The following is a 17397-nucleotide window of genomic DNA, read 5'->3' on the forward strand; positions in this document are numbered from 1 at the left end:
CAAGGAAGCATGGCCCTGCCGGCAGCTTGCCTTCATATTTCTAGCCTCCAGAACTGTGGGAGAATACCTTTCTGTTGTTTTAAGCCATCCCGTATGTATTAGCAGTACTTTGTTATGGCAGCACTTGGAAATTAGTACACCATCTCACTTCCATTTTCCGCTGACTCATGCTGTGCTCTGAGATTGTCCCTCCATAAAGTGTTAGCACAGAAACTTTGCCTTAGGCTTTGTTTTCTAAGGCAGTTAACAAGGTTATATATATGTATGTGTGTGTGTACGAGTTAAAGTCCATAGTGAACTTAGATCAATGATAGATGATTTTTAATATATATGCATTTACAAGCATAATATATATGCATTTACAAGCATAATATATATAATACATATAATGCATTGACTATATATGCATTACAAGCATATATATATATATGCTTAAATTATTTTTGAAGGGACACATAAGAAACTGGTAAAAAGGGTTGCCCCTAGGGAGGAGAAGTAGGGGGCTGTGGGACAAGGACAGATGAGAGAATTTTGTTTTCCTTTTTGTACCCTTGTCATGGTGGATGATATGGGTTTGTTAGTTGTTTATTTAAGGTAAATTTAAAACATTTTAAAGATAATGGCCTAGGAGGGTCTCTGAGGCTCTAAGAAGGACAAAAAGAGTATAGAGGGACTTGTGCAGACCTGGTAACAGGTAAGGGAGGTGTGTGGATGTCCCAAAAGATGCCAGCAAATTCTGGACCAAAGGCTAGTCAAGATGAATTAAGTTTCAGGAAATAAACAAGGGCAGGTGTCTCTCTCCACTACGGAGCTAACACTTGAGCAACCCCAGGACAGAGGAGAACTCCCCAGAGAGAAGAAAGAGAAGGAGAAAATACTGACTTGAGCAAGCTTAAAACTAAAATGACCAAGAAACACATTTAAGTGTCTGAATTTGCTTAGAATTGACTATTTTGTTATTGTTGTTTATATTTAATCAGTAGTTAAAATGGGAGCTCAAGATATTGTTTAAATTACAGAAAAACAAAATTCGATATTTGGGGGATACTCAAGGTTATAGCTTGGGAAATATTATACCCACACCTGTTATTTGGTTTAATCCTCTCAACCACCTGTATAAGGTTAGTATCCCCATTTTACAGATGAGAAAACCAAGACCTAGAGAAGTTCAATGACTTAATCAAGATTATACAACTTTGAGGACAGGCATAGTGGCTCACACCTATAATCCCAGCACTTTGGGAGGTGGAGGAGGGCAGATCATCTGAGGTCAGATGTTCGAGACCAGCCTGGCCGACATGGTGAAACCCCATCACTACTAAAAATACAAAAATTAGCTGGGTATGGTAGCACAAGCATGTAATCCCTGCCCCTCAGGAGCCTGAGGCATGAGAATCACTTGAATGCAGGAGGTGAAGTTTGCAGTGAGCCAAGATCGTGCCATGGCACTCCAGCCTGGGCTACTGAGTGAAACTGTCTCAAAAAAAAAGATTATACAACTTCTAAGTGTTAGAGCTGGCACTTGAATCTAGGCGCATGTAGACTCCAAACCTGATCCTCTCTTCCAGACTCCAGATTTCTTTTTGAGTGGGGTTTATTCCAGCATTTCTAAGAGAGGTTCACACATCTGTCAACTAAGAGGCTGGTTGGCTCTTAAGGACCAAATCATGCTCTTGGGTTGGGGGTAGAAGAGGCAGAATCAGGGGAGGAATGGAAGACATAGAGGGAGAGACGTGAACTTCCACTCCCATCCATCTCTGTATCCCTTCTTGAAGAAGGGTCTCTTGTCTAAATGGCTCCCTCTTCCTTCAACACAATTTGATCTAAGTATGTCTCTCATTCTACCCTAATTCCTGACAACCCAGTGTTTTGGGGGCCTGATTTAAAATGGCTTGAAGCCAGACGTGGTGGCTTACACCTGTAATCCCAGCACTTTGGGAGGCCGAGGTGGGCAGATCACTTGAGGTCATGACTTCGAGACCAGCCTGGCCAACATGGTGAAACCTCGTCTTTACTAAAAATACAAAAATTAGCCGGGCATGGTGGCAGGAGCCTGCAATCCCAGCTACTCAGGAGGCTGAGGCAGGAGAATCGCTTAAACGCAGGAGGGAGGCAGAGGTTGCAGTGAACCGAGATCGCGCTACTGCACTCCAGCCTCAGCAACAGAGACTCCGTCTCAATGAAAAAATTAAAGTTAAAATTAAATTAAATGGCTTGAGTTGACAGGATAGACCATTGTTCACACAACAGGATATCTGTTATTGCCAGAGCACCGCCCAAGGTACAATCTGTGTGTGCCTTGACGGTAATTTTCCTAAAGGCAAACTAGGTATGAGGTCTCAGTTATTCCTGAATAGGACTAAGAGTCAGGAGGATACAGATGAACTTTCCTCCACCGAGGTATTAATAATTATTTCTTAAATAAGTAGATGGATGGAGGATGGATGGATGGAAGGATGGATGGATGATGGGTAGATGATGATTAGACGGATGGACTATCTACTCAGGACCTCTGTTCGTTCTTCACTATCCTTTAATTTATGGTGGCTTACATCATTTCCTTGTTTCCGCCTTCTATGCTTGCTTCACTCAGAGATGGATCTAACACTGCACTAAAATGCGTCCCCTGTCTGTCACAGACTATTCTCTCAGCTTGACTTTATACAATTCAAAGGATTCTGCTTCAGACCAGTTCTGTGTGATTAAAGGGCAACAATATTTCTGGTGCACACTTGTAGATCGTTTATACAAAAATAAAAAGGATAACTGAGACTATGGAAACTGGAAATTATTTGTCCTAATTATGGATAGTAATAGGAGAGCTTTGTGTTCACTAAACACGCCCGCCCGCTTGGCCCCCAGAGTTACTGAGTTCATCTCTGTTTTTATGTTTTGGCCTGCTATCTGGCCCTCCAGGATAGTTAACTCATTTTCCATCACTCCTTTCTTGCACTTTCCATTCCCGTTGAACTGAACCACTTGGTCTGATTTTCTTTTTCTTCTCAGTTATCAAGAGAAAGGTTCTATAATCTCAAACTATAATTGTGGATCTGACTATAACTCCTTGCAGTTCTGTGAGTTTTTGCTTCATGTATTTTGAAGCTGTTTTGAGGTATATAAATCATTAAGATTATGTCATCTTGATGAATTGACCCCTTTATCATTATGAAATTATCTTCTTTATCTCTAGTAATATTCTTTGTTCTGAAATCTATTTTGTCTGGTATTGATATAACCACATTAGTTTTGTTTTGACAAGTGTTAACATGACATATCTTTTCCCATCCTTTCACCTTTAAGCTATTTATGTATTTATTTATATTTAAACTGAGTTATTTTCCTTCTTTTTTTTTTTTTTTTTTTTCTGGAGATGGAGTTTCACTCTGCCACCCAGGCTGGAGTGCAGTGGCCTGATCTTGATTCACTGCAGCCTCCACCACCTGGGTTCAGACAGTTCTCCTGCCTTAGCCTCCTGAGTAGCTGGGACTACAGGTGTCCAACACCACACCCAGCTAGTGCTTTTTTTTTTTTTTTTTTTTTTGTACTTTTAGTAGAGACAGGGTTTCACCATGTTGGCCAGGCTGGTTTCAAACTCCTGACCTGAAGTGATCCACCCACCTCGGCCTCCCAAAGTGCTGGGATTACAGGCCTGAGCCACTGTGCCTGGCCTAAAGTGGGTTTCTTACACAGAGCACATAGCTGAGTCTTGCTTTTTCTTATCCAACATGGCAGTCCCTGCTTTAGTTTCAATATTTAGCCTGTTTACATTTATCATGATTATTCACATGGTTATTATAAACACTATAACATTTATCATGATTATAACACATGCTATGTGTTTTCTATTTCTCCCATCTATTTTTTACTCACATTTCCCTCTTGTTCTTGTTTTTTTTAAGTAATTGGGTATTTTTCATGACTCTATTTTTATCTTCTTTGTTGACTTATTAGCTATAACTGTTTGCTTGCTATTTTAGTGGTTGTGTTCGGATTTATAGTATGCACCTTTAACTTATTGCTTACCTTTAAGTTATATCATATCACTTCATATATAAGAGTCTTACAACAAGGCCTGTCACGGTGGCTCATGCCTGTAATCCCAACACTTTGGGAGGCCAAGGCGGGTGTATCGCTTGAGCTCAGGAGTTCGAGACCAGCCTGGGTAATATGTAACCCCATCTTTACAAAAAATACAAAAATTAGCTGGGCGTGGTGGCGCATGCCTCTAGTCTCAGCTACTCAGGAGGCTGAGTTAGGAGAATCACTTGAGCCTGGGAGGTTCAGGCTGCAGTGAGTGGTGATCACACCACTGCACTCCAGCCTGGGTGACAGTTAAGACCCTGTCTCAAAAAAAAGAAAGAAAGAAAAGAAACTTACTACAGTATATTTCTATCTCTCCCCTCCGGGCCTTTGTAGTATTGTTGTTATAGATGTACCTCTACATAATTATTAAATTATTTTTGCTTTAAACAGTCAATTATCTTTTTTTTTTTTTTTTTTGAGACAGAGTCTTGCTCTGTCACCCAGGCTAGAGTGCAGTGGCATGATTTCGGCTCACTGCAACCTCTGTCTCCTGGGTTCAAGTGATTCTCCTGCCTCAGCCTCCCGAGTATCTGGGATTATAGCCACCCGCCACTGCGCCTGGCTAATTTTTGTATTTTTAGTAGTGACGGGGTTTCACCATGTTGGCCAGGCTGGTCTTGACCTCCTGACCTTGTGATCCACCCGCCTCAGCCTCCCAAAGTGCTGGGATTACAGGCGTGAGCCACCGTGCCCGGCAACAGTCAATTATCTTTTAAAGAGACTTAGCTAAGAAGAAAAAAGTATTTAAATTGTCTATATAGTTGTCATTTCTGGTGCTCTTTATCCTTTAGGTAGATCCATGTTTCCATCTGGTATCATTTTTCTTCTGCTTGTGAGACTTCCGATAACATTTCTTGCAGAGTTAAGTCTGCTGCTGAGGTTATTCTTTCAGCCTTTGTAGATCTGAAAAAGTATTTCACCTCTGTTTTTGAAAGACACTTTCTTTGAGTGTGGATCTCTCATTTGACAGGGCTTTTTGTTTTGTTTTCTGTTTAGTACATTAAAGATGTCATTCCACTGTCTGCTAGCTTGCTCTGCTTTCATGAGAAATCTTCTGTCATCCTTACCTTCATTTCTCTGTATATAAATGTGTCTTTTTTCTCAGCTGCTTTTGATTAAGTGTGATGTGCCTTGGGGTTGTTTTTTTTCATGTTTCTGTGCTTGGGTCTGTTAAGTTTCTCAGTTCGGCGAGTTTACAGTTTCCCTCAAACTTAGAACATTTTTGACTAATATTATTTTTGGCATACCAGCCCCATTTCAAGGACTCCATTCTCCAATTCCACTTACATTAGGCCACTTGAAGTTATCCCACAGTTCACTGATGCTTTGTTATTCTCCTCTGCAAAGTATACTGTGTTACTAGTCCTATTGAGTGCAATTTTTCATTTCAGACATTGTAGTTTTCATCTCTAACAGCTCAATTTAGGTTTATTTGATATCGTCCATGTCTTTCTGTCATGTTCAGTCTTTCCTCTAGCTTCTTGAAATATGGAATATGTAATAATAACTTTTACAATGTGTTATATACAAATTCTATCATCCGTGTTATTTCTGGGTCAGTTTTGACTAATTGACTTTTCTCTTCATTCTAGGTTGAATTTTCCTGCTTTTTTGCATGCCTGGTGCTTTTTGCTTGAATGCCAAATATTGTCAATTTTACTTTGTTAGATATTGAATAGTATTGTATTCATACAAATATTCTTAAGCTTTGTTCTGGGATGCCATTAAGTTACTTGGAAAGAGTGTGATCATTTCAGGTCTTACTCTTAAACTTTGTTAGGCCAGGTCAGAGCTGCATTTAATTTAGGGTTAATTTTCCCCCCTCCTACCAATGCAAGATACTCCTTGGTACTCTAATAAATGCTGCCTGAATTACGAGGTTTTCCACTCTGGCTGCTGGGAAGAGGCATTTTCTGAGGCTCTCTGTGAGTACCCTCTGAGTACCATTCCCTCAAATCCTTTTGGGTGGCTCTTTATCTGGTTATTGGGGCATCAGTTTCCAATTCCTGCTGTAATAAATACCACAAACTTAGTGACTTGAAACACCACAAGTGTATTATCCCCAAATCAAGGTGTCAGCAGGGCTACATTCCTTCTGGAGGCTCTAGGGAAGAATCTGTTCCCTGCCTTTTCCAGGTTTATAGAGGCTGCCTGTACTCCTTGGCTTGTGGCCCCTTCTATTTCAAGGCCAGCAGCATAGCATCTTCAAATCAATCTCTCTCTCTCTCTTAGTCTCTCTGACCGCTGCTTCTGTCATGTCACATCTTACTCCCTCTTATGATTACACTGGGCCCACCAGGATGATCCAAGGTAACTTTCCATCTCAATCTCCTTAGCCTAATGGCATGTGCAAAGTTCTTTTTGCCCCGTAAGAGATTCCAGAGATTAGACATAGACGTCTGGGGTGGGAGGGATTATCCAGTCTGTAAAATGGTCCATTACATATGATTCTTGATAGTTACTACACCAATGTCATCTTAGTCTATGTAGCCAACATCATGACACAAACTATTAGTATTTTTTTAAGTGATTTTGTTTGTTTTCTCAAACTGACCCAGTCTCACAAGTCTGTAACAGCTTAACCTTCCAGAAAGCATGCTCAGCATGACAGAGCTGGGACCATGGAATGCCTTTCTCTGGCAAACAATAGAGATGCCCAATGATGCTAATCTTCTGTGGTAGGAACAGTCAGGGAGAAACAGTAATTCTTTTAGGCCCATGCAACTTTTGAATGTTTATATAACTCAAGTTACTTAAGACAACTAATTTGGAGGGCAACTTGACAACATCTAACAAAATTGAAGACATACATACCCTCTGACCCAAGAACTCTGCTCTAAACATTGACCTTAAAACTCCCACATGTACACGAAGAGACTTATACAAGAAAGTCCATTACAACTTAGTTAGCAGTAGCACAGAATTGGAAACATTGATAGGAGGATGGATAAACTGAGATTTAATCATTGTCTGAGTTCTCTAAAAAACAGACTCTGAGACAAAGATACAAGTAGTTTATGTGGGACGTGGTCTCAAATGTTTGACAGCAAAATATGATACTAAGGAAGAAGCCAACAAGCCACAAGTTGTGTTCTTGTGGTAGACATGGATGTGCTGCCCAGATTCCCCTTCAGGAAGCTGCAGGGGTTGGCATCGGCAGAGGGCCTCCAGCTGTCAGCTCCCCCAGGGTCTGCCTCAGCCATAGACAGCAGCCTCACCCAAGGTCATGCCCACTCCAGGACAGCCCACAGCCAGGGACTGAGCAAGGCGGAGGTATAAAGACCCAGCCATTTGGGTCCACCACGAGACACTCTAATGGGTGCTACTGTACTTGCTCCCCAGCTCCCTGCAGGTTGGCCAAGGCTTTATCAGGCCAGCGTCACAGTTCTCCTCCTCCTTCTGCCCAGTCCTGTGTTCCCCCATTTCCTTTTGGAGGTGTTGATTCCTAATAAACATCTTACATCCCAAATTCCAGCTCAGTTTCTGCTTCTGGAAAACCTGGCCTGAGATGATTATCAAGGAAGTTACCACTGTGGGCAGTGAACAGCAGCTTAATCCTGCTGGGAAATTCTAGGAGGCAGTGTAGAGTGAGGCCTCAGAGTTATCCTCCCTAAGGAGCAAGGGAGCTGGGGTATTTATCTACCAACTTCCATCAGTCATTGGTGAGGGCTATTCCTGGGGGCTGTTAAATCCCAGGCTTTTGGGCCTGCTCCATGTAGCAACAGATCATGCTCCAACAGTCAAGAAAGCCCGTGGACAATGATGTGTGGGTGCTGGCAGTGGGAGCCAGAGAAATGCTGAGTGCTCAGAGGATATAGGCAGGCAAGACACCAACAGAGATTGCTACATTCACAGAAAGGAATATTAAACAGCAGTGATGATGAATTAGCTATTTGCATCAATATGGATGAATCTGTCTGCGGCCATACCACCCTGAACATGCCCAAACTTGTCAATATGGATGAATCTCACCAAAACAATATTGAGTGAAAAAAACAAGGTTCAGAAGAATCTAAACAGTATTATATAAATTGGAGAAAAATTTAAAACATGCAAAACAAGAATATTTTTAAGAAAGATACACACACACATACATATATATAGCAAAAGTAGAAAAATACGATGAACAGTAAATTCAGGAGAGTCATAGTATCAACAAAGAGGGAGGGATGGAATGGAATCAGGAATCAGGAGGAGGCCTTGACTACATCTTAAATGTTTTAAATTTTTTGCTGGGTAGAAGTTACACATATGACCATTATATTATATTCTAATTTTTTTTGTATGTCCAAAATTTAAAAAAATAAAACATTGTAATAAACAGGCCAGACTCAGTGCCTCATACCTGTAATCCTAGCACTTTGGGAGGCCAAAGTGAGAGAATCACTTGAGCCCAGGAGTTGAAGACCAGCCTGGGCAACAGCGAGACCCCATGTCTACAAAAACTTTAAAAAATTAGCCTGGCATGGTGGCACATGCCTGTAGTCCCAGCTACTTGGGAGGCTGAGGAGGGAGGATCACTTGAGCCCAGGAGTTTGAGGCTGCAGTGAGTTATGATTGCACTACTTCACTCCAGCCTGGGCAGCAGAGTGAGAACTTAAAAATAATTATAATAAACAAAGTAAAATCTTATTTAAAAAATTCAAATGATCTGAAAGACATGAGGATTGGCCATTGTGAAAAAAAAAAGACTTGTTTTGTTTTTAACTAAAAATAGCATTAAGGATATTTTTAAATGTAAAAACTCTTTCATGACAAGGGTATAAGAAAATGTGATAGGCGCTACCACTGGAGAGCTGAAATACTTTCAACTTCACTCTTTTTTTTTTTTTTTTTACTTTTATGTTAGGTTCAGGGGTACGTGTGCATGTTTGTTACATAGGTAAACTTGTGTCATGGGGGTTTGTTGTACAGGTTGTTTTGTCACTCAGGTACTAGGCCTAGGACCCAGTAGTTATTTTTTCTGATCCTCCCTCTCCTCCCATCCTCCACCCTCTGATAGGCCCCAGTGTGTGTTGGTCCCCTCTATGTGTCCATGTGTTCTTATCATTTAGCTCCCACTTATAAATGAGAACACACGGTATTTGGTTTTCTGATTCTGTGTTCATTTGCTAAAGATAATGGTCTTCAGCTCCCTCCATGTTCTTGCAAAGGACGTAATCTCATTCTTTTTATGGCTGCATAATATTCCATGGTGTATATGCACCACATTTTCTTTATCTAATCTGCCATTGATGGGCATTTAGGTTAATTCCACGTCTTTGCTATTGTCAACAGTGCTACAGTGAACATACATGTACATGTGTCTTTATGGTAGAATGACTTATAGTCCTTTGGGTATATACCCAGTAACGGGATTGCTAGGTTGAATGGTAGTTCTGTTTTTAGCTCTTTGAGGAATCGCCACACTGCTTTCCACAATGGTTGAACTAATTTACACTCCCACCAACAGTGTATAAGCATTTCCTTTCCTCCACAACCTCACCAGCTGTTATTTAACTTTTTAATAATAGCCATTCTGACTGGTGTGAGATGGTATCTTATTGTGGTTTTGATTTGAATTTCTCTAATGATCACACCTTTTTTATTGTTTGAATTGTTTTTAACATGAACAGGTACTGCTTTATTGAAAAATGAAAAGCACCTGTAATTCTATCAACCTAACACCACTATTTTCATTTTCATTAATCCATTTTCCAGACCTTGCTCACATGCATACACTCTTTGCTAAGTTGCAATCATATCACACATGTATTTTATACCGTTTACACTTAATCATATATGATATGTACATAAACGTTTCTCCATTTCTATGTAGTCTAAATAATCATCTTTTCTTTTTTTTGAAACAGGGTCTCATTTTGTCACCCAGGCTGGAGTGCACTGGCACAATCTCTGCTCTCTGCAGCCTCAATCTCCCAGGCTCAAGTGATCCTCCCACCTCAGCCTCCCAAGTAGGTGGGGCCACAAGCATGCACTGCCATGCCTGGCTAATTTTTGTATTTTTTGTAGAGATGAGGTTTCATCATGTTGCCCAGACTGGTCTCGAACTCCTGGGCTCACATGATCCTCCCGCCTTGACCTCCCAAAGTGTTAGGATTACAGGCGTGACCCACCACACCCAGCCTAAAGAGTCATAATTTTAATGGTTACATAATGTTCTGTCTTGTCAATGCACAGTAGTTCACCAACCATTTCCTTATTTGAGATATTTATATTGCTTCTAAATTTCAGATATTGAAATAACTTTTTGATAAATATACTTGTGGAGGTTTTTATGTTAAATATAGCCTTAGCAGAAACCCCACGGGTGCAATTACTAAGTCAGAGGGTGTGTCTTTGCCCTGCAACACACAAAGCTTTCCCTTTGATGACGATTGTTTACTTAAAGCCCTGGGGACTCCCAAATGCCTGGGAATCTTCATTTTAGACTTAACCTATTTTAGGCTTGGTTTTGTTTTACTGCATTCTCAGGAGAGCAAAGGAGACAGCTGGGAGCAGATGGGCAAATCCCAGTTTGCCCAAAGAAATGTCTATTTTCCAAGGGGCATGAAGAATTTAGGAATAAAGCAGATCTGATTTCTAATTCTGACTTTGCTACTGGCAAATTGTGTGGACTCAGGAAAGTGACCGGCCCTCTTTAAGACTCAGTGTGCTTACCTCTGAAATGGAGCTGTCAATCACATCTGCCTCACAGGCTTGTTCTGAGGATGAAGTGAGAAAATGCCCACGAGGTGCTGGTTGCAGCAGCTGGTGCATAGTAAGTACTCAGTGGATATGAGCTGGTCCTAAGTAAGGTCAGCAAAAACGCTCTTCCCACAGACCCCGAGAAAGCAGAGTCCTGAATGAGGGGCTAGGGGAGTTGCCTTCCAGCTGATATTTCTCAATGGCTGTAATGCTGGTGAGAATTAAATAATTGGAGGAAGCAGGGGGAGAGAGAGAATGGAAAGAATCTTCTCTGGAACTACCAGCCTGTATTCTTTGCATTTCCATATCTAGCATGGAAATGAGAGAAAAACTGATGTGTATTGAGCAACTATAATGTCCCAGGTGCTTCACGTGCATTTTCTCCCCAGGCCTCCCTGCAGGGGTGAGGGAAGACTGCAAAGGTACAAGAATGGATGTTGAGGCTGTCCAGGCATCTCGCGTCTGAATGCGCGAGATGCTAGCCCTGCATCTCCCAGCTGGAGAACTGCACTCAGTTTGTCTCCTCATCTGTAAGTTGGCGAATGATCATTGTGCTGGGAATAAATCATTTTTATAAAGCGCCGGGCACATAGTAAGCACCGGCAGTAGCTATAATGAGCAGCTTGCCCCAGGTCACCCAGAAAGTGGCAGCACTGAGACTGGGGCTGGGTCTCCTGCCTCCGGAGCCCACATTTTTTCCACTGAATCACATTTACCTCTATACAAATGCCCATGGTCCGTGTGATACAAAATACTTGAGAAATACTTCTATGGTGATTCAAGAAAAGAATTATTCTGGGCCCTTTGTACTGTGTTTCAAGTGCTCTGTAATCAAAGAATTCATCCCTCCAGTCATTTCTGAAAGCTTCCCTTCTTTTTCAGGAGCTTAAAAAGGATGCAGTCCCAAAACATAGAAGGATTTACTCCAGATCCAAGCAATGAGTCAGGAACAGAAAGCCTGATGCCCTCACCTGGAACTCTCCCTCCTCCCTGGATGAGGACCTTCCCCAGAATTGCAGGGCACCCACACAAGACCAAGCAAGTTCAGAGAAAATTGAAACCTGACTTTAGAGCCTCTGGGATGTTCACTACACCTCATTGAACCTGTTTGGTTCACAGGTAAGGAAACCGAGGCCCAGTCAGTCACTTTGGTCACGACTGCTCCTGGCGTTAGTGTCTGAGAGAAAATTACTAACCACCCTTGTGCTTCTGGTAAACAGTGTTTGAGGTTTAGTGTCAATGTGAGCAGTCGTATATGAGAACATCTCTGGCTGTGCAGCTAATTACCACCTTTCTAAAGTAATCTCTGCCTGAAATGTACTGTGGCTGGAGCAGTTCAATTTCAGCATTGAATATGAAGTGACCATGGGCTCCGCAGGCACACAGGGATCCAAATTAGGAGAAAGTTGTTCCACTTGTCAACATGGAAGGAAGCGTTGTGTATTTCTTCTTTGTGGTGCCAGATTTAGCACAGGGAGGCTTCTGCCGGATAATTCGTCTTTGCAGTCGTCCTTATAGGAGGGTCTTAGCCCACCACACTAGGTTATTTTCAGCCTGGTGAAGCAAAGAGGGAACACTAGTAGCAGAAGACCAGGCTGAAGGAATTGTCTCTGCCCATGATAGGTAACAAATGGGTTTTGTGGTTCTGAGCCTCAATTCTAGAAAATGGGTGCATTAATATTTACTGTATCTAGACCTAAAGCTTTAAATAACATCTGTAGACTGAAGCCTCCTAACAACCTAACACCACTATTTTCATTTTCATTAATTCATTTTCCAGACCTTGCTCACACACATACACACTTTGCTAAGTTGCAATCATATCACACATGATATATGTGAATCAAGTGTGATTCATATATACGACCGGATTCTAGATTCATACATACGACTGTCTACTAGACCCTGCTCTTGAGACCCAGCTCCCATCTCACTGCTGCCGCTTTCTTGATCTGGGGCAAGTTACCAATCACAGCTACCACTGGGCTCTACTACGTGTCGGGAGCTTTATAAACATGATTTCTTCCTAGCACAATCATCATTCCTCATTTTACAATAGTCAACATGCAAAAATGAAGCTTTCCATTTCCTGCCCCCGAAACCTGCTCCTCCCCTCATCTGCCTCTTCTCTGTGACACCATTGGTTTGCATCCACCTGCTCAGGCCAAAGACCCAGGAGGCCTAACTCCGCTCCCCTCCTCTCCTGCTCCACACTTTTAATCCATCTGCAAGTCCTGCCAGCTTTACCTGCAAAACACATCCAGAACCTGACCCTTTCTCGCCACATACACTATGTCCACATAACTCCTGCCACCGCTTTATGAAAATAATATTTTTAAATGCAAAAAATAACATACAGAGAATTATAAAGGAAACCAATCATATTAACATCTATTTACCAAAATATTTTAAAGAATAGATTTATGAGATATTAATGTATGTGCTTTGTTATTACCACATTAAATAAAAAGATCTGGTGGCAAGTCTAATAACTATTATAATTCCAAAGTAGTGATAAGTATAAGCAATATTTCCAGAGAGCTGCAGGGACTGGATGTAATGTGATATAAAAACATCTGTGATTTCTAGTGGTGACAAAGTCCCAGGCACTGCTCATATTATTGTAGTTTGTTGCCTACATTTATCATTGAAAAGAGTGCTAAAACCTAGTTAGAGGCCGGGTGCAGTGGCTCGTGCCTGTAATCCCAGCACTTTGGGAAGCTCAGGCGAGCGAATCACTTGAGGCCAGGAGTTCAAGACCAGCCTGGCCAACATGGCAAAACCCTGTTTCTACTAAAAATATAAAAATTAGCCAGGCGTGGTGATGCACACCTATAATCCCAGCTACTCAGGAGGCTGAGGCATGAGAATCACTTGAACCCAGGGACGGGGCGGAGGTTACAACGAGCCAGGATCCTGCCACTGCACTCCGGCCTGGGCAACAGAGCCAAACTCACCCTAGTTAGAGGTTCATGAAAATAGTCTTACATACACACACACACACACACACACACACACACACACACACACACACACAACCCCCACTTAGAAGCACATAAACACACACACTCATACACCCACATACATATTCCTCCACTTAGAAGTACACAAACTCCCTACAGTCTGGTTGAGAACACGTGACTGAGTGCACACCGCAGGCGTCCCTGGCCTGGGTGTTTGCAGCAACCTCCCGATGCACCTCCAGGCATCCAGTCTGGCCTCCTCCAGTCCATTCTCAGCTTGGCAGTCCCAATGACTCCCTCCCTGTGGATGTCATATTATATCACTGTCCTACTTCGAACCCTCCAACAATAGCCCATCACCATATGTAAAATCCAAAGTCCTCACCACAACCAATGAGGCCCCAGGTCATCTGGAAACCGCCTTTGCAAAAATTATATCAGTGAGAAAAATTATAACAGTAAGCTAAGCTAAACCTCCCCCAATCTTGCCTTTCCTTTAATTATTCCTGGACTGTTGGGCTGAGCTAAATTTGGAAGACATTTAGGCTACAGTGTAAATAATAGGCCTTGTGCCAAACTCAACTGCTTTTGTAAAGCTAATGGGAGGCCATCAGGCTTGGGGGAGGAGAGAAGCCTGAATCCCGCTAAGGTGCGGATATAAACATTGTCAGCCATTATTCGGGAGGTTATAAGATATGCAGCTTGCCCAATTAGTCCTGCAAATAACACCACTATTGTAGATTGGCCTTTTCAGATATCTTTCCAGGCTTTATCCATGTCTGACACCCATGGCTCCATCTGGACTGCCAACTCCACTCCTGTGGCCCCACCCAGGAGTGATTCAGCCTTTCAAAGGACAGCTTTGACCCCCACTGATTTCATTTCCACCCCAACAAATCAGCAGTAAGCACCTATTACCTGGTCTTCCCCCAAACTGCCTTTGAAAAACCCCTAACTTAGAAGCTTCACACGATTTGAGTCCAGATTCCATCTCCCACATGGCGTGGTCAGGCTTGTGTCTATCATACTCTTTCTCTACTACAATGCTGTGGTCTTTGTTTATGCAGTGAGCAGGAAGAACCCCTCAAGCAGTTACAGTCTGGACCCTGGCTACCTCCCCGTCCTCATTTCCACCACCCTCCCCTCACTCATTTCACACCCTTCTGCCCAACGCTGTTTCTCTCTCCAGTACCCACCTGGCTCCTTCACTCCTTTGGGGCCTCTGTTCAAATGTCACCTGCTCAGAGAGGCCTACTCCGATCCCCCCTTCCCCATGTAAAACAGTCCCCCCTCCCAGTCACACTCTACACTCAGACCCTGCTTTCTGGTCCTACTGAGATGCATTTGTATGTTTCTGTGTCTTTGTGTTACAGTGGGCAGCTAGTCAGGCATAAACAGGAGGAGAGAGCCACCCCCGCCTCACCACCAGGAATGTCAGGCGAACATTAGGTGATGGTCGGGCGGTTGTTAACAGTTTCTCTTAAGGAATCATCCGTCACAGCCAGCTCCAGGGAAAGGCAGTCTCCCTATAGATAGGAAAAAACCTGAAACAAGTGATCAGTAGCTTCCTGATAAGATCAGGAATTGGGTGAGTGGGCTCACACATGTGAGCTCAAAGGCAAAATGGTGGAGTTTCACTGGTATATGACCTTATAGGAACACTTGACTGGAAAGGGGAGAACATCTCAAGTGAGCATGCGTACAACTCTAGGAAACACACTGCGCATGCTCACCTCCCAAGTGCTGGCAGGCCACTGTGCATGCCAACAGGCAACCCCAAGGAAAGAATGAGGGGAGAAGGGACGCAAGATCCCGGAAGTATGCCAACGTATAAAACCCCAAGTCAAAAGCTCAAAGCTCACTTGTCTTTCAAGTCACCCACTTAGCCCTCTTCCAAGTGTACTTTCCTTCCTTTCATTCCTGCTTTAAAGCTTTTTAATAAACTTTCACTCCTGCTCCAAAATTTGCCTCGGCCTCTCCTTCTGCCTTATGTCTCTCAGTCGAATTCTTCCTTCTGAGGGGGCAAGAACTGAGGTTGCTGCAGACCTGTACAGATTCGCCGCCAGTAACATTTCTTGTCTGTCTACCCCACTAGAATGTCAGGCCTTATCACTGCTACCGGGATAATGTAGAGGGACCTATCATGTAGAGGGACAGGGTACACATCTGTAGATTTAGTAAGTGGAGAAATATGAAGTCCGGACTCATTGGCCATGAGAGTTCTGGCAAGGAAGAGGCCAGTCAGGACAGCTGCTGGAGGGCTGGACCATGAACAGGACCTCTGCCAGTTGAAGCATGCCCTCTGCTTTAGTGCCTTGTTACATATACCCTGGTCTACTCATCACTCATGGTGCCATCAGACACTCCATCTCAGAGCCTGCAGTGAGTCCAGAAGAGAACAGGGCCCCAAACAGAAGGAAGTCCTGCAGTCACTCAGCCCACCATCCCAGGAGGCATTGCACAAACTCTGCTGTCATCAACATGCCCCTGGGGGTCTTACACTCCCACCCTGGACTAAGACCTCCTCCTGATGCCTCACAGTGCTCTCCGTGAGAGGAGTGTTGAGAAACACACTTCTAGGGGGTTCTGCTGTCCCCTACAGACCAGCGCTCAGTCATTCCTCCTGGATCTAGCTCTGGTATGGCTTTGCAGGCTTCACTCACAGTCTTGCCCTGAATCTGGGCTCCACTGTCTCCCTGTCTGACACATCTGATCTCTCTGTTTCAGTAGAGCTCCAACTACCGTCTACTTCCTGCAACTGGCCTGCTGCCAACTCCCCAGATCTCTTGTGGAGCTGCCGGAAGAGACAGCCTGCCACAGAAGAAAGCAGCCCTCCTCTTTCATGGCCTCCCACATCTTGAAACAAACACAAGCAAACAAAACAAAAGCTTGAGTCCCAGCCTGATTCACCAGGTTTGGTTCCCAATTGTTGAAATTCCCTTCCCAGGGCTCTCAGAACCAGGGTTGGCTGGAGGGGTGAAAGAGGCTGGCCCTGAGCCCAGTAATAGGACACCAAGGGGGAGCTAAAAGCTGGGATCTGGGGTGAAGATGGGGTCTTCCAAGCTGGGAGGCAGACACCAGGCCAGAGCAACCGGCCTGCCCCAGCTCAGGCCTCTTAACCCATGCAGGGCAAGAGTATAAACAGAGGCCACGGACCACATGCCTCAGTATTTAAACTTATAAATCAAGCTAACATAACATGAAATCAAATATGTTCTATCCTCCTAGCTTGACAAATACTTTCATAACGAGATGGAATGCCAGGTTCAGATTTAGAATTTTCACACTCCTTAAAGTTCCAAGTCAAAATACAGCATTAGGGGAGGGCCCCCAACCTCGAGGTCTCCCCTCCCCCATTTTCTTTCACTCCCAGCTCTGTCTCACACCACGAGGGATCTTGGGTGAATGCCCCTCGATACCCCAGCCCCCCACAAACAGCTGCCCTTTCCCCCCTTGGCCAAGGGTAAGCACAGCAGCAGGGCAGTCTGCCCTTGGCTGGAGAGATGGAAGGAGAGGCCACACGGGCCCTGAAAATGCATTTGGGGACTCTTGGGCAGGAAACTTGGGAGTTTCTGGAGCCTCAAGGAGGGTCTAGTGGGACAGAGCCACTTGGGCCCATGAGATCCTTGACCCATGGAGAAGGGTAGGGCTAGAGGAGGGCCAG

General features: G+C 43.6%; 1 long non-coding RNA gene across 1 annotated transcript in view; it reads left to right on the top strand.

Annotated features, from left to right (window-relative positions):
* Nucleotides 1-17037, top strand: part of LINC02568 (long intergenic non-protein coding RNA 2568) — a 47307-nt gene extending 30270 nt beyond the window's left edge. Inside the window, exons 5-7 of the long non-coding RNA NR_120375.1 lie at nucleotides 10706-10843; nucleotides 11653-11889; nucleotides 16464-17037. This is a non-coding gene — a long non-coding RNA (long intergenic non-protein coding RNA 2568). The remainder of the gene's footprint in view (nucleotides 1-10705; nucleotides 10844-11652; nucleotides 11890-16463) is intronic.
* The last annotated feature ends 360 nt before the right edge of the window (nucleotides 17038-17397 follow it).

This window comes from Homo sapiens, chromosome 15, assembly GCF_000001405.40.
Source record: "Homo sapiens chromosome 15, GRCh38.p14 Primary Assembly".
In the NCBI taxonomy this organism is placed as follows: domain Eukaryota; kingdom Metazoa; phylum Chordata; class Mammalia; order Primates; family Hominidae; genus Homo; species Homo sapiens.